Here is a 23,240-nt window from a genome sequence, read left to right on the forward strand (position 1 = left end):
TCCTAAAGCCCTTCCAGGGCTTCCCACAGCTCCTTCTTAACTTCTCTTCTGAAACTCATTGTGGCCTGTCTTCTCAGCTCCCCTCCTTCCCCTCCAGCTTCGTCTCTCATTGCCTTCTTCTTCCATGCACTACTCCAGCCACATGGAACTTTCTCCACTTCCTCAGTGGCACCAGGGATGCTTTCATGCTGAGTAGTCACATGGACTGTCCCTTCTTCCTTGAAAGTGTGTAACCCTGCTTGTACCCCTGCTCCCTGGGAGCCCCCATCCTGTTGTTTTCACACTGCATGGGGCACTGTTATCTGTACTTCAGGTGTTTGCTCAGGTACGGAGTCTTCAGGATGCCTTCATGGACACCTCACCTTCTCCTGCCTCCCATCTTCAACAGAGTTAGGTATCCCTGTACGTATTCCCACAGAACTCTGCTATTCCACTATCATAGCACTTTAATTGCTTTTTTATCTTTCACGAGACAGTCTCTATTATTGTAAGCAATTAGGTGATGAATTTTAACATAGCAATTTTAACCTGAGCCCCAATTAATAAACAGTAGACATTTAGCATATGAGGTCAAATCAAAGAACGTCTCGTCAAATCCCCATGTTTTGGAGAAAAGGAAACTGCTGCCCACAGGAGTTAGGGACATTTCCAAAGTCACAAAGTCAATTCATAACTTATTAATCATTCTTCCCACTGCAGACATCAGCCATAACCCCTATTCTTTCTATCCTTTTGACTGATTCTGGTTTTCTCTGCAAGAAGCTTGAAAGCCTTAGCCAGGACATGGTTTAAACTCTATTTTGCCTTGGTTATCAAGCAATCAAATGGTGTGGTTAAAATTGTAGCAAGCCTGTCATTTCTCATTTAAAATAAAACGGGACTCATTCAGGCTTCTTGAAGTGAGACTGCATGTGACGATGCAGGGAACACATCTCCTAGAAAGAAGAGGAGCCACTGAATGGGCAGCCTCATGGAATCTCAGGCTAGAAGATCCTTCACATTTGAAGCAGGCTTTAGAGGACTGTGTTATCTTTTCCTTTTCCATTTCCCCTTTCCTTGCCTTAAGAGCAAGAATTGTAGATTTTCACTCTAGTGCTGTGGGCTTACAGGGGCTCAGCTCTGCTGGTCTTTTATTCCTCTCTATATTTTCTAGCACTTCATTCTGTTCACAACCAACTAAGACTCTTAGAATTTTTCAGTTTCAGTCTCAGAAAGAGTTAATCCAATTGGTTTGTCTAATTGCTGTCATTACTGCCTGGCATCAGGACATCTCATAGGTCACTGGTCAGCTACTGATTGGCCACACTTGGGCTGTGGTGAATCCTTGGTCCAACCAGTTTTGGCTGTGGTGGTTGGTTCTTACCTTTTAGAGCAGGGCCATTCCAACTCAAGGTCAGCGTGGGGCTGTTTTCTTTACCAGAGGTCTGTGGACATGGACAGCATTGCATAAGGCCTGACAAACTTCTGGATTCTCTACATGGTGATAGTTTAAAGTTTCTTTAAAAATGTGTTTTTTTGGGGGGGGGAGTCCACATATTCAAAGTTCTAAGAAATCTCAACTACTGACATATTAAGGAATTGAATATGAATGTCCTCTCCCACTAGATACTGATAGTTTGATTTTCACAGTAAGATATTCTGGGAAGAAATCTGGATAGGAAGGATTAGGGAGGCCTTATCATGACACTCACAAAGTTGAATGGGTTTGGTGAATGTATGGTGAATTTTTTCCAGGCATATATACTTACAAAGTTGATTTAAAAATAAGAATGTAGATTCTGGATATTAGCCCTTTGTCAGATGAGTAGGTTGCGAAAATTTTCTCCCATGTTGTAGGTTGCCTGTTCACTCTGATGGTAGTTTCTTTTGCTGTGCAGAAGCTCTTTAGTTTAATTAGACCCCATTTGTCAATTTTGGCTTTTGTTGCCATTGCTTTTGGTGTTTTGGACATGAAGTCCTTGCCCATGCCTATGTCCTGAATGGTAATGCCTAGGTTTTCTTCTAGGGTTTTTATGGTTTTAGGTCTAACGTTTAAATCTTTAATCCATCTTGAATTGATTTTTGTATAAGGTGTAAGGAAGGGATCCAGTTTCAGCTTTCTACATATGGCTAGCCAGTTTTCCCAGCACCATTTGTTAAATAGGGAATCCTTTCCCCATTGCTTGTTTTTCTCAGATTTGTCAACCCAAATGTCCAACAATGATAGACTGGATTAAGAAAATGTGGCACATATACACCATGGAATACTATGCAGCCATAAAAAATGATGAGTTCATATCCTTTGTAGGGACATGGATGAAATTGGAAATCATCATTCTCAGTAAACTATCACAAGAACAAAAAACCAAACACCGCATATTCTCACTCATAGGTGGGAATTGAACAATGAGATCACATGGACACATGAAGGGGAATACCACACTCTGGGGACTGTGGTGGGGTGGGGGGAGGGGGGAGGGATAGCATTAGGAGATATACCTAAGGCTAGATGACGAGTTAGTGGGTGCAGCGCACCAGCATGGCACATGTATACATATGTAACTAACCTGCACAATGTGCACATGTACCCTAAAACTTAAAGTATAATAAAAAAAAAAAACTTCCAAGTAAAAGAAATCTAAAAAAAAAAAAAAAATAAGAATGTAAGAGTGATGGTATTTGACATTTAGAAGAAATGTTTTGACAAGTGCATGTGATGATTTAATGGTGCATATTCCATAAAGTCAACAGGAGTGAAGCTGTGGAAATGTTTGTCTTTCTGAGTGAGTGGTATTTACTGCTGTGAATTTGCTGTTCCATTTCCCAATACACTCTCCCTCACTCATGCTTTTACTCTAACTTCACGTAACTGAGTTGCTATTTTCAATGATGCTAGTAATTAATGTGTGTTTGGATTCTGGATTTTTAAAAAAGTAATAAGATGTTTTGGGACAACTGGGGAAATTTAATATGTACTGTATATCAGATGCAATTCCTGAGTGAATGTTAATTTCTTTGGGGTTAATAAGAGTATTGTAGTTATACAGAATGTCCTCATTTTCATGGTCTGCACACTGAGGTATTTAGGGTGAAGTATACATTGTTGGATAGATGGGGATAGGTAAGTTGATCAAGCCAACACGACACAATCTGAAAAATTGGGAAATATGGATGCTACTCATTCAACTTTTGTGTAGGGTTGAAAAATCTTTAAATAATATAAAAAGTTGGAGGAAAAAGTGTAACTAGTAGTCTGTTGGTGTAGATGGCTTGAGTCTGAGATCTGAAATTGGAGCCAGTCTCAGATTAGAGAAAATAGGTCTTGACTTTCCTTGCAGTAACATTAATCTGGTGTTTAAATGAATGCTTTGCTGAATCTGGGGCACCGAGAGTGAATATCTCATTAATGACCAAATCTCCAAACCAGTCATTGTGGAGGAAGCTGAGTTGGCCACATCCTTGATTTAACTAAGAAGTAGCATGTTTTATTTTATAGCTGCCTTAGCCTCATTCATTAAAACCTGACTCATTGGGCGGAGGGTGGAAGAAGTTGCCCCTTTAGAAATATCTTGCTAATAACTCTTTGGCCACTTCAGCTAACACAGAACCTGGAACTCATGCCAGCATAGAAGGGTGGCTACAAGGCTATGGGATGGGCCAGCCGTACACATGCCATGATTCACTCTCAAAGAGGACAATTTCAGCCTCTTTAAAAGCATTATGATTTAGCAGAGAATAAAGAATAAATGTCCTTGGTAAAAGGACATATCTAGACCAGATGTAGTACAACTGTCATTGGCTGTAGGGAATGCCATGCACGTAGAAGGCAGGGTGAATTGTGCCCTTGGAATTGTGTAACACGGGACAGATGTCATGAAAAACAATTTACTTGCTGAAATCCAGCACTGTGGAGGTGGTGAAGCAGCTGAAGCCATTTTTGTGATCAGTTCACTCTATGGTATACTGTTGTTATTGTATTTGCACTTTTGTTCTGGCATGTTTGCAGAATTACTTTTTGGACGGATCAAGTAACCAATAATTTGAGCAACAATTTAACAGTAACTTTTTAGAGTGAAACCTTACCAACCAAATACCAGAATGTATTTAAAAAATATTTTGCTAATATTTGTAACTATCTTGATAGCCTTTGCTCTGGGGTTTGGGCCATCCTCTGTCTCTCAAGCTGTTATAAATGATATTTTTTGAAATGGGAATAGCATGAGTTGGTCAGGTAGAGATTTCTATAGAAGCTCCTTCTGTATTCGGCTTATGACACTCATGGCGGTAGTATGAATTCAGATCTCAGGGTCATTTATTATCCATGGAAAGTTAATTTGAGATGTTGGAACTTTTAAACAGTGTTTGTTTATTGTGCTAATCACGATCTGTTACTAAATTTCATTTGAAATGCAATTAATTACCTTCATCACCTTGCTAAAGATTGACATTAATATTCTGTCCTATCCTATTAGTTCTGTTGACACAGAGGGAGATGATCACAATAATGGGAAGGAAAGAGCAGAGAGCAAGGGAATAAACAAGCAGTGACTGCTATTATTTTATTGAATGGTTCTTTTGTCAAAATGACTGCAAGAAAATTCTTAGAATACCAGTATCATCACACAAACCTAAATTCATAAGGCTTCCTGCAGTTGAATCATATTTTTAAAGTTTAGCTTGGGGTTTTCTATTATTCAGCTCACTGGTGTTGAAGCAATTTTGTTGACATTTTCTGTAAGTGGATTAGGCTTGCAGTCATTTGCCCAAAGCAGACAGATGGCTTCTTAAACAGAGCACCCCCGTAGGAACCTATCTTATGGTATCTTCAGAAATAAAACAGGTCTGTCACAAAAGATAATGTTTGGCATTAATTTCTTTTAGTGACAAATGATTTCAGCTCATTTTTACTTTCTCTGCTGGCTTAAATGAAACAGCTGTTTTACATTTTTTATTCCAATAGTGAGCAACGCTTTGGTGTTTGACACTGAACAATGTTGTAGCCTCTAAATTATGAGTAAGAAAATAAGCTTTTGAGAGGGGAGGATGATGCCTTTTGGGATCCCCCAAGGAAAGTTGCCACATTAATGCAATTGTCATTTTTATTTTAAACATGGGGTCTTTTTTTGGACTAATGAGTAATGCAATCCTGGCTTTTATTGTCGCATTTTATTCTCTCCACTTTGTCAACTTGTCTTTTTAAGTTTCAAGATGTTTTTGTTTCCTCACATTTTTATGAGGCAAAGGACAGTGGACTTATCTACAACATTGTTATTTCTGTTTATATAATAGAATAATAATTGCTAACGATCATTAGAGTTTTCCATGTATGGCAGGCATTGTTCTAAAGAATTTAGAGGTATTATCTCTCTTAATCTCACAAAAAATCTATGAGGTGAGTACAATTATTATAGCCATTTTATGGATGAGGAAACTGAGGCACCCAGTGATCTTGCCCAAGGTCAAAAAGCTAGTAAGTCTTGGAGCCAGGATTTGAGCCCAGGTACAGTAAGAGTGGAGCTTATGCTGTAAATTCACTTATAAGAATGGCAATATGGTTACGATTCAAAGTCTCTAGTCTAGAGACTAGAGACTAGTCTAGATTGTTATTCTAAGAGAGAAATGAGGAATCCTTAGAATCAGATTTATTCCTTCATCACTCCTGGGGTTCCACTCGTCAGCTAGTGTGTTCTGCCATCTTGGGCAGCCAGCTTATGTGGAAGGCTTGTGGGGGCTCATGGGTGCTGCAAGGAGAAATCAGTACAGGGGCCCTGAGAATTGACTGATGAGGCCTCACATTAGTAGCATCCTTCAAAACGTTCAGTGGATGCCTGTCATGAATATGATTCATTAATAATCTTCTTTTTGGATCTGAGCCATCAGGGCTTATGACGATACCTTTGAAGTGAAAACCAGTCCTTTTTTCCAGCACTTATCCCACTCATGAATCCTCTATCATTGCTTTTGTATTTCAGTTTTCCGAAAATCTGGCTCAGATTAAAATTATTAAATGCTTCCAAACCCTGTACCCACACTGAAGACAAAAGTTAGAAATCAAAATATCAGCACAAGGATAGTATTTATGTCTGGGACATTTGTGAAGTTCTATCAAGAAATTCTTTTATAAACCAAAGAAGTCTTAAGCTAGTTTTTCTTTTCTATTTGATCAAATAGATCTATTTGATGACATGTGCACCATATCATGTAATGTACCTAAATTAAATAAAAAAACACAAAAAAACAAATAAACAATATAGAGATTAAGAAAAACAACTCTTGGCCTGGGAAGCCGGCATTATTCATTTCCTTCACACTTATTTCTCGTGTGAACCTGGGCAATGTATTTTTTTAGCTTTCCTGTGTCCATTTATTCACCTGAAGGTTATAAAAGGAGTCCTTCGAATGGCTCGAAAATTTGAAATAATTACTAAGAACGGTTATTTAGCAGATCTCAGTGATACTGTCACTAAATGACACTTTATTGTTTTCCACTTTCAGTGTTTCTTTCAGTATAAATGTCAATGAAACAAAATAAATCCTAAATAGAGAAAACGTAAGGAAAAATGGAATGTATTAGGCAATTTGGTGCTGTGCCATAAAGGCGGTAACCTTCCAGAACACTCTCCCATACCATGTATATCTGTATCTGTAAGACTGGAGGAGGATTCTTGCCTCTCCTCCAGGCAAGCATAAAAAAATCCTTGTACTGTGTTTCACTGATCATAAGATGCCAAGAAATAAATGAAGATGCCTGCTCATCTTGCAAATCATTGCTTTCTTGTTACTTTTTATGGGGAGGCTTGTCTAATCTCCTAGTCCTCACAGCAATACATTCTTTTCCCTCAAGTACTTAGCATAATTTAAGGTTAGATATAACTTTATTTTTGTGGTTATTTTATATATACCTGTATCCCACACTAGAAATAGGTTCCGTAGGGGCAGGGATGATGTCTGTGCTCACTTTTGTAACCCCCAGAGTCCAGCCTGGTGATTCTCAATGGGTGCAGTACTGCCCCCTAGGCTGTGTTCTGGGAAGTTGTAGAGGTGATTGGGAGGATTCTCCTGGCATTTAGTGGAAACAGACAGGAATATTTGATGTCATGCTCTGGGCAGGGCAGTACAACATGATGAAAAATGTCCTGTGTCCTGCAAGATTTCTGTTAAGTCCTGCCTGAGTAAACCCTCTGTATTAGTCAGTTGTCATACTGCTATAAAGAACTACGTGAAACTGGGTAATTTATAAAGAAAAGAGGTTTTTTTGTTTTGTTTTGTTTTGTTTTCTCAGTCCTTCACGCTGTACAGGAGGCATGGCTGGGGAGGCCTCAGTGAACTTACAGTCATGGCATAAGGCAAAAGGGAAGCAAGCACATCTTCACATGGTGGCAGGAAAGAGAAACAGCTAAGGGGAAGTGTTACACACTTTCAAACAACCAGATCTCCTGAGAACTTACTATCACAAGAACAACAAGGAGGAAATCTGCCCCTTTGATCCATTCACCTCCCACCAAATCCCCTCCTGCAACACCAGGGTTTACAATTCAACATGAGATTTGGGTGGGGACACAGAGCCAAACCATATCACCCTCTAAAATACAAATCAGAATACTTTAGTATATGATATTAATTAATTATTATTATTTTTTACAAGAAGTTGTTTGAAGGCCAGTACTTGAGTAAAAGGTAGTTATTGAGAGGTAAGTCTAAATGAAATAAAGACATTGTTTCCAAATTATTGAATAATTTACTCACCTTGGGTATTTTGTCCACTTGACCATATAATTGCTACACAGTAATATTGGAACAAATTGGGCAGTCAGATAATGGTTTTAACCTGATACCTTATTTTTTATTATTGATAATCCATGGTGGGCATCCGCCTGGGCCCCACAAAGTATCAGCTGGTATTATCAATCACAAGAACAATGACCTTTGGAGTACTTTTAAAGATTTGGCAGTTTTGCTGGGCGTGGTGGCTCACACCTGTAATCCCAGAACTTTGGGAGGCCAAGGCAGGTGGATCACCTGAGGTCAGGAGTTTGAGACCAGCCTGACTAACATGGAGAAACTCCATCTCTACTAAAAATACAAAATCAACTGGGTCTGGTGGCCTGTACCTGTAATCCCAGCTACTCAGGAGGCTGAGGCAGGAGAATCGCTTGAACCCAGGATGTGGAGGTTGCTGTGAGCCAAGATCGCACCATTGCACTCCAGCCTGGGCAACAAGAGCAAAACTCCGTCTCAAAATAAAAAAAAAAAGATTTGGCAGTTTTGATGTGGTGTATGGACATTATTTACTTCCTCATTTATGGGATTATCAGCTTTTTCTTTCCACAGTGAGGGTTTGTATTTGTCTTGGCATGTTATGCCGACCTTAATTGAGGTTGTTTCTTTCCTTCTTTTATTCTATGCAAATACAACTAGTCTATTGCCATTATTTGTTTTCATACTAGTGTCTGTCTCTACATTTGCATTATCATTTTCCATTAAATATGTATTTTTTGAGTGGAATGGCATCTGATCTTATTTCTCTTTCATATCTAATTGCATTCATATTAAGTACAGGCATCTGCCTACTTCAGGTTTCTGGTGTGCCTGCCTGACATTCACATATGGCAATACATGTTATTTTATTTTAAATGACCATTCCCTTTTTCTCCTTTATATTACAGCTAGGGTATTATATTTATTTTAATAATACATGAATAGGTTATATTATCTATGAATTTAAGTTTATGAAAATAAAGAAAGCCTTACAAAGTATTTGTTTCAAAGGGTTGGTTTTGATAGATTGAGAACCTCAGGCCAAAGTCTGGTATACAGTAATTGTTTAATAAATATTTGTTTGCTGGATAAGTGAATAAAATGAAAACTAAGGTGCAAGTCCTCATTAATAGCTAAGAGACCACCATTGTTTCCAAAGCACAGGGAAGAGATGGGTGTATCTCAGTTCACATATACATAGCTTTGAACAAGGTATAACAGGGACAATAAATGAGAATTTGAAACATTAAATTTCATACTTTTTTTTTTTTCCCCGAGATGGAGTCATGCTCTGTCACCCAGGCTGGAGGGCAGTGGTGCGATCTTGGCTCAATGCAGCCTCCACCTCCTGGGTTCAAGCAATTTTCCTGCCTCAGCCTCCTGAGTAGCTGGGATTACAGGTGCCTAACAACACACCCAGCTAATTTTTGTTCTTTTAGTAGAGACGGAGTTTCACCATGTTGGCCGCGCCTGGCCCATACTTCTTTTTTAAGCTCTGGTCAACAAGTGCATCTCAATGCAGTGGGTTTTATTGAGTGATACAGATGTTTTCCACCAGTAACAGGACCTATTGTCAGCATTGTTGCCACTGGATTATTAATGGTTTTTTAAATTATATTATTATTAGTGAGTAGTGTTTAAATAATGTTGAAAGACTTCACTTATATGTAGAATTCTATATATACAAGAACATAAAATTGTCTCCTTATATTAAAACTATTTTAAAAAACATGGCTAATACAAAGGTTTTCTGCTTAAAATGCAGTTAATTACTATTTTGAAGTAACTAGGGTCCTTCATTTCTTCAACATTCAAGTTAACCAAGACTTCTTGATAAATAAAGCTATTGTAACAAAGAAAGCTTGATAGGAAAGCTATTGTAACAATGCAGGTGTTATTTGAGAAAGAAATGTGGTAAAAGAAGATCTTTCAAATTTCTTTCAAATTTAATTTTCATTATGTTGAATTTTAACAGAGTATGATTTCAAAATTTTCTGAGCCTTTCATATGGCTTATTAAACATGTCATCTGCTGCATTTTACAATTTTCTGTGGACCCTTTGGCATTAAATTATTCTTAACATTTCTTTAAAGTGTCTTCTATACTTTATAAATTATTTTTTCTTGAGAATTAGATTCTCAGGAACTAAAAAGATTTATTTATATTCAGTTTCCATAGTTTTCAGAAGTATTCAATTAATCAGAGTTTGTGACCAATCCTAAAATACATCCTTTATGTAACTAATTAAAAAATTAACTTTATATACAGTTACAAAATCTAATGTCTCAGGTGAGCATGTCCAGTGTAATTCTCTTCATGTTCCTGTACAGATTATTTTTATTGCATTATATAATAAAGATTTGAAAAGCAGAGTTTCATTTGTTTTGGGTTTAGAGTTTCAGAAGAATAACAGATAAAGCTTCATTCAGCCAAGACTGTTAGAACAGAACTACTCTACGACTATTCATCCATATTTCTTGAGTGTTCATGGAGTAAAAATTTAACTTTTTAAATAGCAAGTAGAATGCAGTTGAAATATTTGGTTGCTGAGGTGTTGCAAAACAGTAAATCTGAGCATTGATAACTTAGTGCAGTGGACACTTCTATTTTTGTGCAAAATTAAGTTATATTATATGCAATTTCCTAATAGCTGCACCTTTGTGCCTTTTAACTCTTGTTAACATCTTGTATATAATTCCTACACAGATAGGCCTTCATTCTAGAGAGCAAGAATTCCAGGCCATCTTTGAATAGTTTCACCCAGTTTTCCAAACAGCGTAACATACCAAGAGTGTAACATCAAAAAAAAAAAAAAAAAAGTCTAACATGACATCAAAACATTTTTGATTTGTTGTTTTAATTTCTCAAATGAAGGACATTGTAGCAGTTGTTTTACCTCTTCAGAGCAAAGGATTAAACTTCTTAAATGATAGAGTCCCAACGGATGGTTTTTGAATTAGTAAGATGGCAGTTGTGCACAGCCCTCCACAGTATGGTCCATCAATGGACCAAATAAATAACTACTCATCCCACTATGATGTCTGTGACTGGTTTCTACTGCAGCACTGTCCAAGGGTGATTCTACTGTGGGTATGGACTCTCCCATGGATAAAAGAATATCAGAAAACCCAGTCTGCTGATGAGTGTGGGCTCAAAAATACTCACACGAGTTGACTTGGAGACAGAGCTGCATTTGTTTATGTGTGTAGTTTTGTATATGTGAGGGTTTTCCTATTCCCAGAGTCCCAATTAGCTGCTTTAAATATTTGTGGTGTGCTCTGAAACAACCCACTCATTTCCTTTACACTTGATGAGAACACTAGTTATGATGTTCTCCTGCTCTTTTGTGTACTAATATCACAAGGGATAGTGCGGTTCATGGGAAAAGTGGGTGTGAAGGAGCCTGGGATGTCTTTTGTGAATAATTCTGCCAGACTGTAGTCAAAACCATTTTCATTGGTGGGGGGAGGACTGCATTTTTTTGGTAAAAATGGAAGTAACAGAAATCCTAAATATCTTTTGATGGGTTATAAGATATATTACTAAAAGATAATTTATATTTAGAATTCTACCCTATTTTATGGTTAGGATATAATGAGATGTATTTGAACTGGTTTACGTTTAGTATATTAAGTGTTCAGTAAATGTTAGCTGCTGTTTAGTGTTGTGACAATATTTCTTGTCAGTAGTAAATTTATTAGTAGTAATCAAAATTGTGGTGATATATCACCACAGCAATGCACGGCAGCCCAATTTGCAATCTAAATTGCATCAGTTATTTCCTGATTTCTAGATAATGTACTTTAATTATAATTTAATGCAGTTGGAAAGATTTAATAAGGAATGCTTAATGTTTGTTTTTTAAATATTCACTAATTATCACTCATTTTTAAATTCAGAATTTCTATAATGATCTCTGTGGCTTTGCATGAGTCCATGTTACTTTCTAAATGTGTTGGACCTGCCAGTGGAACCTTACATTCAGAAGCCAAATCACTGTGGAGGCTAAATGGTGGCCATTGCTCTTGGGACTTCTATTAGTCTTGTTGTCCCATCAGCATCAGTCTACCTGAGGCGCTCTCTATTACCCTCACTTTCCTTTGAGTTAAAGCATCCTTCTCTTTTTTTTTTTTCATGAAGGATCCCCAGTACCAGAGGATACTTCAAATCCCCATGAGATTGCTAGTATAGAAATGCCGGCAGCAGCTTGACATTTTTTTTTCAAGTTGAGTGTTCAGTGGTCAACTTGTACATTAATTCTGCATTTCATGCCATAACAATCCTAAACTTATTTTAGTATACAAGAGGTGTTTCCATTTCTATATCACCAAATAAAATGAATTCTCCTGGGGTTCCTCCTCTTCCCTTAAGACCTCTGTTTAGGGAGAATAAGATTAAAACACTTTCTTAAGAATGACTTGTTAGGTTACTCTTTAAATATATACTATAGACGAATACCTTTAAATGGCTTGGCTGACCTGAATACCATGGTGGGTGTCGGGGGGTGGTTTTTGGGATGAAACTGGATCAACCTCAGATCAACAGGCATTAGATTCTCATAAGGAATACACAACCTAGATCCCTTGCAGGCTCAGTTCACAATAGGGTTCACACTCCTGAGAATCTAATGTCGCTGCTGATGTGACAGGAGTGGGAGCTCAGGCAGTAATGCTCACTCACCCACTGCTCACGTCCTGCTGTGCAGCCTGGTTTCTCACAGGTCACAGGGACTGGTATCAGTCCATGGCCCCAGGGTTGGGGACACCTGCTGTACCTAATATATTTTGGAGGAAATGATACACAGGACAAAGACGTTTAGAGGGAGATCTGGTATAAGCTGGCTGGTTAAGAGAAGTTTGGGGGTGTTTGTGACAGAGTAGAGAGAAAGAGATTGCTAGATGATTAGGGAAAATTGCTGCATATAAAATGGGAAAAAAGTCAGCATGCCAAGGGAAAATGCCAGGGTGGTGGTTGTTAACAATCAAATTCACCTTCTACAATTTTCACCAGAATGTGTCTTTTCTGATTCTGGTGCCTTGATTCGGAAGACCCAAAGAAGAGATGCAGGTTGTGATTCCTGGAACCACAGAACAGAAAGATGACTGCTATTCCTCCTTCATAAAAAAAGAGAAAACAGAAGTTTATATCATGTTTCAATGTACACTCTTCACAACACAGCCTTTCAGTTTTGCTTCTTTTATTAGTTAATAGTTTACCTATTTTTTTTTTTTCTTGCCTATATGGTACAGCCAGTGTGTGTTGTCTCCAGGGTTATCAGGAGATGATGTAGTTGTGTTAGTTATGCACTGGTACAAACTGTTTCCTCCCATTGGCCATTGTTTTCTACAGAGACTGACTTCTATTTACCAGAAATGGCACAGTCTGGCATTTGGATGCCACCTCTTAGAACCAATGAGATGACATTCTGGATTATTAAAATATGTTTCATGCCATGCTGTGGGAAAAGGGGATGTGAGAATTTTATGCGTTAGTAGGATAAAATGATGTTTTTGTACGTTTCACTGTTCTCTTGCAATTAGGAAAGTTGCCAGTTTTGCTACTGCTATGCTTTTAAAATTCTTGATGAAACTTTCAAAACTAAATGAAAAGGGAACACTTAAAAGTAATACTCTGAAAATGAAGGAGGATATAGTCTCATTACTAATAGATTTTTTATAAATGGAAAGATTCCTTTAAAAATATAGTAGTACATATACATTATACATATCTCTGTAAAACAGACTCTGGTAGATGCATTTTAAATGTTAGTCAAATTTTTAATAAAATATAGATAGTACCAAGATACTTATTATATATAGTAGCAGATAATGTTAACCACTTTCTAAATCACCTTATATCATTGTGATTCCTATACTTATGATCATTTAAATCATAAAGAGCTCTTCAACATATTGTCTTTAATCTTAGAACTGTAAGGAAGGCTGAAGGATATTTTCATCATTTTTGCAGAAGAGAAAATGGCCCAGATAAAAATTGGTTGAAGATGCTCCAACCCTCGTCCCTGCTAGTGTGTTCTTGCTCTGCCCTGTCTTCCTGATTCTGGATGCTATCTCTAAATTGTGTCAGGCTGTGTCACATGGGCAATGCTTTTCTTTTTATCTGCGTTGCTTCCATGGGTAACAATGAATAGGAGTCTCTAGGGTGCCCTGCAGAGAGTGCCTGCTTTGCTGTTAAAAGATGCCTATCAGGTAGTGGTTAAAACCACAGACCCCGGAGCCAGCTGCTGGATTTTAAGCTCCAGCTCTACCACTTAGCAGCTGTATGACTTTGGGAAGGGTGACTGTGCTCTGGGCCTCAGTTTTTTTAATCAGTAAATTGAGAATAATGAAAGTACCCATCTCATAGGGATGTTGTAATGAATGATTGAATGAACATGTATAAAGCACAAAGAGTGACCACACTGAGCAAGCACTTCATATGTTGGTCTGTTATTATTATTACTGAAGAGTTGCACTTTTCAAAGTGGATGTGACTTCACTTTTTTTTTTAAATTTATGTTCTGGGATACATGTGCAGAATGTGCAGTTTTGTTGAGCAGACTCATTCGTGATGTCTATAGTGTTAAGAACAGACTTCCCAAAGTCTGCTGGTGTAGTAAATATTTTTTCTTTAGAAAATACATCTCTCACTGACAGAGTCTTTAGGCTCTAATCTCTAGTCTTTAGTCTCAGACTAGATTGTAAACATGGTGTGGGGAATAGAGCATTGATGCAGGAGGCCAAAGGCCTGAACTTTAGTCCCAGCTCAGCGATTAACCAGCTGTGACCTTGGGACAGTCAATTAACCTCATCAGGCTCAGCTTCATTTCTCCTCAGGAGAAGGCAAAACTGTCCACCTCCAACTCTTCTTCCAAAATCCCATACCATAATTGATGTACTTGAGAAGAAGTTCGCTTTAACACAAACATCAGGCAAAGCCCAACTATTTAATCATCCCATATAATTAAAAGCTGCTATTAGAAGGATTTAGCTATTTTTTACAGAGGATAGAATTGGCAAGTGCATATTTAGGTTTTGAGAAATAAAATATTCCAAGCTTTTGTAAAATACAAGTTTCTTCATACACCCTAAGGAAAAAGCATTTACTGGCCTTTCATAAAATAGGTAAATTATCCTTTCTCTGAGCCTCTGCTTTGTAGAATAATGCTCCAGCAATCGTCATAACCCCATATCCACCCATATTGTCCTTTCAAGGTCACACTTTCAGGCACTGCCATGAGAATGGAGAGGAGAGGGAAGAAGCTACTTCTTCCTCTGTCTATGGGCCATAGACACCTGTCCCTGCTTCCCCACACTCAGTCATTCAGCCCTTGGGCCAGTATCAGTATACGCACTTTATCTTCATAACAGTGAACTAAAATAAGAAATAAAAATAGCAGGAAAAGATCTCTGTTGGGCACTGATGTAAATGACAGCTAATGTGTTCCTGCAATCCTCATTTCCTTTTTGTTTTGCCTCTGGAGACTCTTTTTCTCCATCTGCCAGGTGGGAACATCATCTTCAGGATGATGGAAAAGGCAGAAGTAATGTGGGTGACTGATAATTTAACAACAGGCAGATTGCAAGGATGACCCAGTATATTAAAAACCAGCTCACCAAGCATAAGGGTATGTGACTTACTTTACAGAAGACACTTTGCTTTGTAAGCTCTTGTACAGAGGGGGAGATTTTATTTTCACTTCTTTAAGGAAGAGCTTCTTTCCTTGTTTTCTCCCAAGACTAGGAATGCTGGATCTGGGCGGGGTAGGTATTGCAGCAGTGTGCAGAGTCTCAGACCATGGTGATGGAAGAGTTGATGTCCTCAGCACATAAAGAGGAGGATTCCTCACAATAGGAATCTCAACGGACTGCCAGCAATTGCATAGCCAGCTGGTCAGGCTCAGGTTGAGGTACTTGGCTTAACAAGCAAAGTCACTTAATAATGTTAGAAAAGAACCTTGGGTTAAACCCTGGAAAAGTGAGCTTGCAGGTCTGGGTCTGTTTCCTTATTCAGCAATGGGCAGTAAGAACATAGAGTGATGTCACTCAGCACATGCCTGGCCCATAACTGTCTTCTTTGATGCCTGTTTTTTTCTGTTTGTAGGGCCAAGGAGATCTGTTGAAGAATGCCAAGAATGAAGCTATAGAAAACATGAAGCAGATCCAGCTGGCATGCCTGTCCTGTGGACTGAGTAAAGCCCCCAGCAGCAGTGCTGAGGCCAAGAGCAAGCGCAGCCTGGAAGCCATAGAGGAGAAGGAAAGTAGTGAGGAGAATGGGAAGCTGTGACTCTGGGCATTATCGACACGTTCACCCATCTTATCAAGGACTCTGGTTTCTCATTCTTGTTTTCTTTCTTTAAATGTTTTATAAGTTCACAAAATGGTGCCCTATATGGGGTATTGGACATAGATATTTTCACAATGTCAGTATTTCAGTGTAGTTAATTTATCTAAATTAAAGCCTTTAGTATCAGTGTTTTAAATTCTGAGACATGTGTCAACACCCCTGTGTGGATGCCTGTGGAAGAGTGTGTGTGTGTGTGTGTGTGTGTGTGTGTGGCAGAGAGAGAGAAAGAGAGAGAGAGAGAGAAATTCTGTTAAAATCTATTCTGTGTTGCATTATTCATTTAGTGAGTTATTCCTTGATCATTTTGGGACAATTGTTTTAATCTGAAATTCTAAAGAGCACTTACTGTAACCTGTTGCTGTGTTTAATTTGACTTCTCTGCCTTTGACATTTAATTTAGTGATCTTAGCATAGCTTATTATTGAAGGAAGCCAAATTTATCAAAGCATAGATGTTTTGGTAGATTAAATATAGATTAGAAAAATTCCTAAGAATCAGAGTAGAAATAAAAGTGAATGAAAGATTAAACAGATGATGAGAATTTCTAAAAAGATTAGCAAGGTCATTTCTTCAGTCAGAAAACTTTAAAAAATATTTATTAAATAAAATCAATTTTTAGGAAGTTTTCTGTAGTCATTTACTAAACATATGATTTCACTAGAAAAGCTGATCATAAGTGAATTTATACCTACCTGTGTGGTACTCTGAAACACACTGAAAGCTCTGTTGCAATTAGGATTTTGATGTGACAATAATATTGTTGTATAATTTCGAGATTTGTAGGAAGGTCTCATTCTTCCAAGCTGAGAGTCTAGCACTCATTTTCTATAACAGATATGGCAGCTTAGAGGTGTTGGCTTTGTTTGGATGTAATTTAGGGTACTAAATTTAAATTTAAAGATATTGTTCAAACAATATCATATCATCACATTGAGCTGATATAAATTCTGTGGGTCCGATAATATCTTTGTGATAATTTAAGAGCTAACCAGTTACCACACATCTATGATATAACCCTAACACACACAGAAAAGCATACATGCAAAAAGAAATGACTAATTAGGGTACATTTATAATTGCATCTAGGTAATTTTTACCCTAATGTCTTCATAAAGTACTTGAGTGTAATGTTTGTTACCTCCAACAGAACTAAATGTTCTATGGTTATGAAAGAATATATTTATTTAAAGCATTGCTTTTATTTTGAAAAGCTTCTTAATTAATTTGATTAACAAATATGCTAATTTGGGGAAACCTAGAGAAGATAATTGTTGAAATTTTGCAAATATAAACATCTCCTATAGCTTCTGTGTTATTTCTGACTTCTTAACACTATTATGTTTATGTTGCACATTACTGAAAGAGTAAAGATATGAAAAAAACACTTATTGTTTTCTTTTATTGTGAATTGAAAAAGCAAAGCTAATGAAAATGGGTTACTACATCAAAAATATCTTAAAGAGTTTGCTATTTCCATGGACCAGATATGATGAAATTATTCCCTGGGTTTAAAACTGGGCACTCGAGGAGGAGGTACCTGAAGTCATTTGAAGGCAAGTTTCCAATGATGCTACAATGGCCTGAAAAAATTTCTTTACCCTCTGTTATATTTAACTTGCTGGTAGGAGGAATAGTGGAATGCAGGTGTTAAGCCCTTTGTGGTGAAAAAGAGGTTCTATAGACAGAAACAAAACCCACCTTACATCAGCTGATTGGTTGATTTTACTAGTGTACCTCTTCATCTACTTGAATTCTATTTGGTAAATCCATGTCTTTACTGGATATACAGTTAGGTGGGAAGAGGAGATAAAGGATGACAAACTCTCAAACAATATTTATACATTTATTTACTCCAGGGTCAAATCCAATCCTTGGAAGTAGCTTCTCTAGTTTATTTTATTTGTCCCAGAGCTCTACTCACACTTAGGACCCACCCAAAAATTCTCAAAAACGTAATATGGATTCTGCCTCATCTGATGCTATTTCTGGCAGTGGGTTGTCAGCCATACTCTGCTTCATTCCACTGGGTGTCCTTGCTAGATGGGGAGTGAGATGTGGAGCAGGGAGGAGCTTTGGATTCTGGGAGTGGAGGTGGCAAGGGAAAAGTCTCCTAGTCTCCTGTGATGTTCCTGCCTCCAGATAGAATAGCAAAAACAAACAATTTTTTTTTGTGTATTATGCCTCCATGACATTGTTACATTCTATGAGGAGCATCTGTCTCCTTTCTAGACTTGAACTGTGGTAGAAAAAGCCCCCTTCTCTCTTCTATCTACTTAGATTTGGTGATGCTAGGAATGTAGTGTTTTAGATATTAATTCTATTTTTATTTATTCATTTTTACATCACCAATAGGATCTGAGGTGGAGATGGCGGGTATTATCACTGGCATTTTACAGGTGAGAAAGCCCAAAGCCACTGAGGTAATTAATGGAATAATTGATTTTGAACTTGGGTCTGTCTGATTTCATGTGCAAGATTATATACTTAGTGATTTTGATTTTAAGTTTATTCTTAACATTTTAAACCAGACTATTAACTCTTACCTTTATAACCACAGATACAAAGAACTGTATCATTTATTTTCTGAATATAAAATATTAATGGTCAATATAAAAATACAAAAATAGAGAACTATATACAACAGAAAAGCAAAATTACCCACTAATAACATTTTGATTTATATCCCTTTAGACACTGTTTAGAGTTTATACATATATGTAAATATGCTTGTATTTTAACAAAATTGAGATATTATATAAACTGTTTGTAGCAGGGTGTTTAAAATTTTAACAATATGTTATGGATATCTTTCTGTGTCAATAAATGTGTATTTACATTAGAGTTCCAAGCATTTGAACTGAATCTAGTCCAAAAATGATGTGTTTTATTTGGCCATTGAACATTTTTTAAAAAAATCTTTAAGCAATAGACAGCTTTTGAAATTCAGAAAATGTTACGTACAATTCAATGTCCTGCATGTTTTAAAATACTGGATAATCTAACAACACAGAACACCTCCCACTCCCCACCTCACAACCACCACACATATACTTTCTTGCTTGGCATCAGTTAATTGAAACTGCCCTCTCCAAAAGGGGCATATGCTGTCCAATTTTCTAGAGAGCCTTTTCATTCATTTATGTTACATCTGGACCTTAAGGACATGATAGGTGGTGAAACTTGATGAAAATTATCATTTATTGAGAGGCCAAAATGAGAGAATTGCTTGAGGCTGGGAATTGAGACTAGCCTGGGAAACATAGTAAGACCTTGTCTTTAAAAAATAAAAAAAAATTAATGGTCATTTATAATAATTATACAGTATCTTATTATATGGCTTACCAGAATATATTTAACCAATCTCCTATTGCTAGATTTTACTCACCTAATTTCTTGTTATATAAACATTCCAATAATAAAATCCATTTTTGCAAAGTTGTTCAACTTTTTCTTTGGGATACATTTCTAGAAGTGGAATTGTTGGGTCAAAGGATACAGAGATTTTTTGTTTTGTTTCATTTTTGTTTTTTAGGGATTTTGAGATACATTGCCAAATAGTCTCAGGAAAACTTGTTCAATTTAAAACCCCACCAGGAGTTTATGAGAGTGCTTAAATCTTTGCTAATGATAAATTTAATTTTTCTTATTTTCATCTTTGCCAATCTTCTAAGTTACAAAAATCTTATTTCTCTTTATCTTTAATCTCTAATGAGATTGGATGCATATTAATATGTTCATTGACTCTAAATAATCTAATTAAAAGTAAAAACTTTTGTACTCCAAAGGATACTACCAAGAAAGTGAAAATAGAACCCACAGAACAGGTTTGCAGGTCATATATCTGATAGAGACTGGCAACCAAAATTTATAAAGAACTATTACAACTTAATAAAAAGAAAACCAAATTTTTAAAAACTGGTCAAAGGATTGGAATAGACTTTTCTTCCAAGAAAATATGCAAACAGGAAATAAGCACATAGAAACGTGCTGAAGATCGTTAACCACTAAGATCACATAAATCATAGCCACAATTAGATATGACTTCACACCAAATAGGTTGGCTATAATAAAAAAGACAGATAATAACAAGTGTTAGTGAGGATGTGGAGAAATTGGAACCATCCTACCCTGCTGGTGGAAATGTAAAATATTTCAGCTGCTTTGGAAAACAGCTTGGCACTTCCTCAAAAGGTTAAAAAAACATGGAGTTACCATATGACCCAGCAATTCTACTCTTAGATTTCTACCCAAGAGAAATGAAAATATATGTCCACACAAAAGCTTGTACACAAATGTTTGTGGCAGCATTTTTTATAATAGTCAAAAGTAGAAACAATCCAAATGTCTATCAACTCATGAAAGGATAAATAAAAATTACATATTCATACATTGGATTGTTCAACAATAAAAGAAATGAAGTACTGATACATGCTACAAGAGTATACCTTGAAAGCATTATTCTAAGTGAAGGAAATCAGGCACAAAGGCCACATGTTGTACCGTTCCATTTTTATAAAATATCCAGAATAGGCAAATCAGTAGAGATAGAAAGTAGACTAATGGTTGCCAGTGGCTGTGGGGGTCTGGGAGTGACTGCTAATGGGTATGAGTTTTCTTATTGGTGTGATGAAAATGTTCTGGAATTAGAAATAATGATGATGTTTGTTTACATAATTTGTGAATGTACTAAAAGCTATTTAATTGTATATTTTAAAGAGTGAATTTTATGGTATGTAAATTATCTCAGTAAAAGGGTTATAAAAGGAGAAATAAAAAGAATTTAAACAATGAACAGGGTATTAGAGAATAGTGAAATAGCTTCAAGAATCTAATATGTATGAAACTGGAGAGAAGAGCAGGAAAGAAAAATAATTTGAAGAAATAATGGCTAAAAATTTCTCATTTGTAATGAAAACTATAACCTCCAGATCCAAGTGTCTCAAAAATTCCAAGGACAAGAAACATGAGAAAAACAAGTTAGTCTGTTTTCTGCTGCTGTAATAGAATGCCACAGATTGTGTAATTTACAAAGAAAAGAAGTTTATTTGGTTTACAGTTCTGGAGGCTGAGAAGTCCAAGAGCATGGCTTTGGCATCTGGTGAGTGTAATTCCATGCCAGAAGGGCAAAAGGTGGAAGGTCAAGAGAGCCCATATGAAGGAGGTTTTGCTATTATAACAAAGCCACCTCCTCTACAACTACCCCACTCCGATGACAACACCTTTCATGAGGGTGGAGCTCTCATGACCCAATTACCTCTTACTTGGCCCCACTTCCCAACACTCTGGCATAGGGAGTCCAATTAAGTTTCCAACACATGAGTTTTGGTGACACCTTCAAACCATTGCAACAACCAAGGCATATTGTAGCCAAATAGTTCAAAAGTAGTGATAATGAGATAATCTTAAAAGCAGCCAGTAAAAAAAGACATGTACAGAGAAAATAAGAAAGACAGCGTATGTCTTATTGTAAACTGTGCAGATGAGATGCCGGTGGAGCAACTTCTTTAAAGTATTGAAAACAAAGCAAAAACTGTAATCCTGGAATTCTATACCCAGTAAAAATGAATTCTAGAATTCTATACCTATTCAAAAATGAAGGTTATACAAAAAAATTTTCAAAAGCTCAATTCATCACCAGTAGACTTACATTATAAGAAATGTTAAAGGAAATCCTTCAGGCTGAAGGAAAATGATGCCAGGTCAAAATATGGATGTACAAAAACAGATGAAGAGAGAGAGCTAGAAATAGTAACTGCAGGGATAAATATAGCTGGCCCTTTGTATCTAGGGGTTCTGCATCTGTGGATTCAACCAACAATGGATTAAAAATACTTAAAAACTGATAAAAATAACAATACAAAATTAAATACAAATAAAAATACAGTACAATTATTTATATAGCATTTACATTTAATTGGGTATTATGAGTAATCTAGGGATAATTTAAGGTATACAGGAAGATGCATAAAGATTATATGCAAACACTATGTTATTTTATGAAAAAGACTTGAACATCTATGGATTTTGGTATTTGCAAGGGGTGAATGGGGTATTTGCAGGCAGTGAATGAGGAGGCCTGGAACCAATCTTCTGCTGATATTGAGGCACTACTGAAAAAGGTATATTACTTAAATCTCTTATTGTATTGTAAACTGTATAAGTAATGAAATTAAAAGGCAGAAATTGTCAGACTGAATAAAATGAAAAGACCAAACAATATGCTGCTTACAAGAAACACAATTCAAATATAAGGACACAATTAGTTTAAAGGAAAAGAACTGGAAAAGATATACCATGATAACACAAGTCAGAAGAAAGCTGCTGTGGATATATTAATATGAGATGTAGATTTCAGAGCAGTGAATATTGCCAGGCATAAAGAAAGTTATTACATAATAATTAAGGTATCAGTTCATCAAGAAGATGTAATAACCCTAAGTATTTATACAACTAATATCAGAGCTTCAAAATACATGAAGCAAAAACCAGTGGAATTGATAGGAGAAACACACAATTACACAATTATAGTCAGAATTTTCAACATATCTTTCTCAATGGAGAAAACAACTAGACAGGAAATCATTAAGGATATAGATGATTTAAATTATATGATCAACTACCTGGACGTAATTGGCATTTATGGAACACTGCACCACCAACAGCAGAGTACATATTATTTTCAAGTACACAGAAAACAGTTACCAATATAGACCATTTTCTGGGTCATAAAACACATCTCAATAAATGTAAAACAATTAATGTTATATAAAGTATGTGCTCTGACCACAAAGGAATTAGAGATCAATAAAAGAAACATCTTTGAAAAATCTCAACATATTTAAAAACTAAATAACTCACTTCTAAATAACTCCTGTATCAAAGAAGAAATTAAAAAGGAAATTAGAAAGTACTTTGAATTTAAGTGTCAAAACATCCAAATTCATGGGATAACACTAACACTAAGCAAATTTATAGCAGTTAACACATGTATTAGAAAAAAAGAAATTTCTCAAACCAAAGACTTCCATTTTCATCTTAAGAAACTAGAAAAAAAAAGAGAAAATTAAGTTCAAAGTAGAAAAAAGAGAATAAAGATTAGAGTAGAAATCAATAAGATAGAAAACAATAGAGAAAATCAATAAAACAAAAAGGTTGAA

General features: G+C 36.4%; 1 protein-coding gene across 4 annotated transcripts in view; it reads left to right on the top strand.

Moving 5' to 3' along the window:
* PLCL1 (phospholipase C like 1 (inactive)) overlaps positions 1-18,924 on the top strand; it is a 345,271-nt gene extending 326,347 nt beyond the window's left edge. For all 4 annotated transcript variants that reach the window (NM_006226.4, XM_005246643.5, XM_017004339.3 and 1 more), the window contains exon 6: positions 15,841-18,924. In NM_006226.4, coding sequence (NP_006217.3) covers positions 15,841-16,023 — 183 coding nt within the window. In that variant the 3' untranslated portion in view covers positions 16,024-18,924. The remainder of the gene's footprint in view (positions 1-15,840) is intronic.
* Positions 18,925-23,240: the final 4,316 nt, after the last annotated feature.

Source organism: Homo sapiens, chromosome 2, assembly GCF_000001405.40.
Source record: "Homo sapiens chromosome 2, GRCh38.p14 Primary Assembly".
NCBI classification, from domain to species: domain Eukaryota; kingdom Metazoa; phylum Chordata; class Mammalia; order Primates; family Hominidae; genus Homo; species Homo sapiens.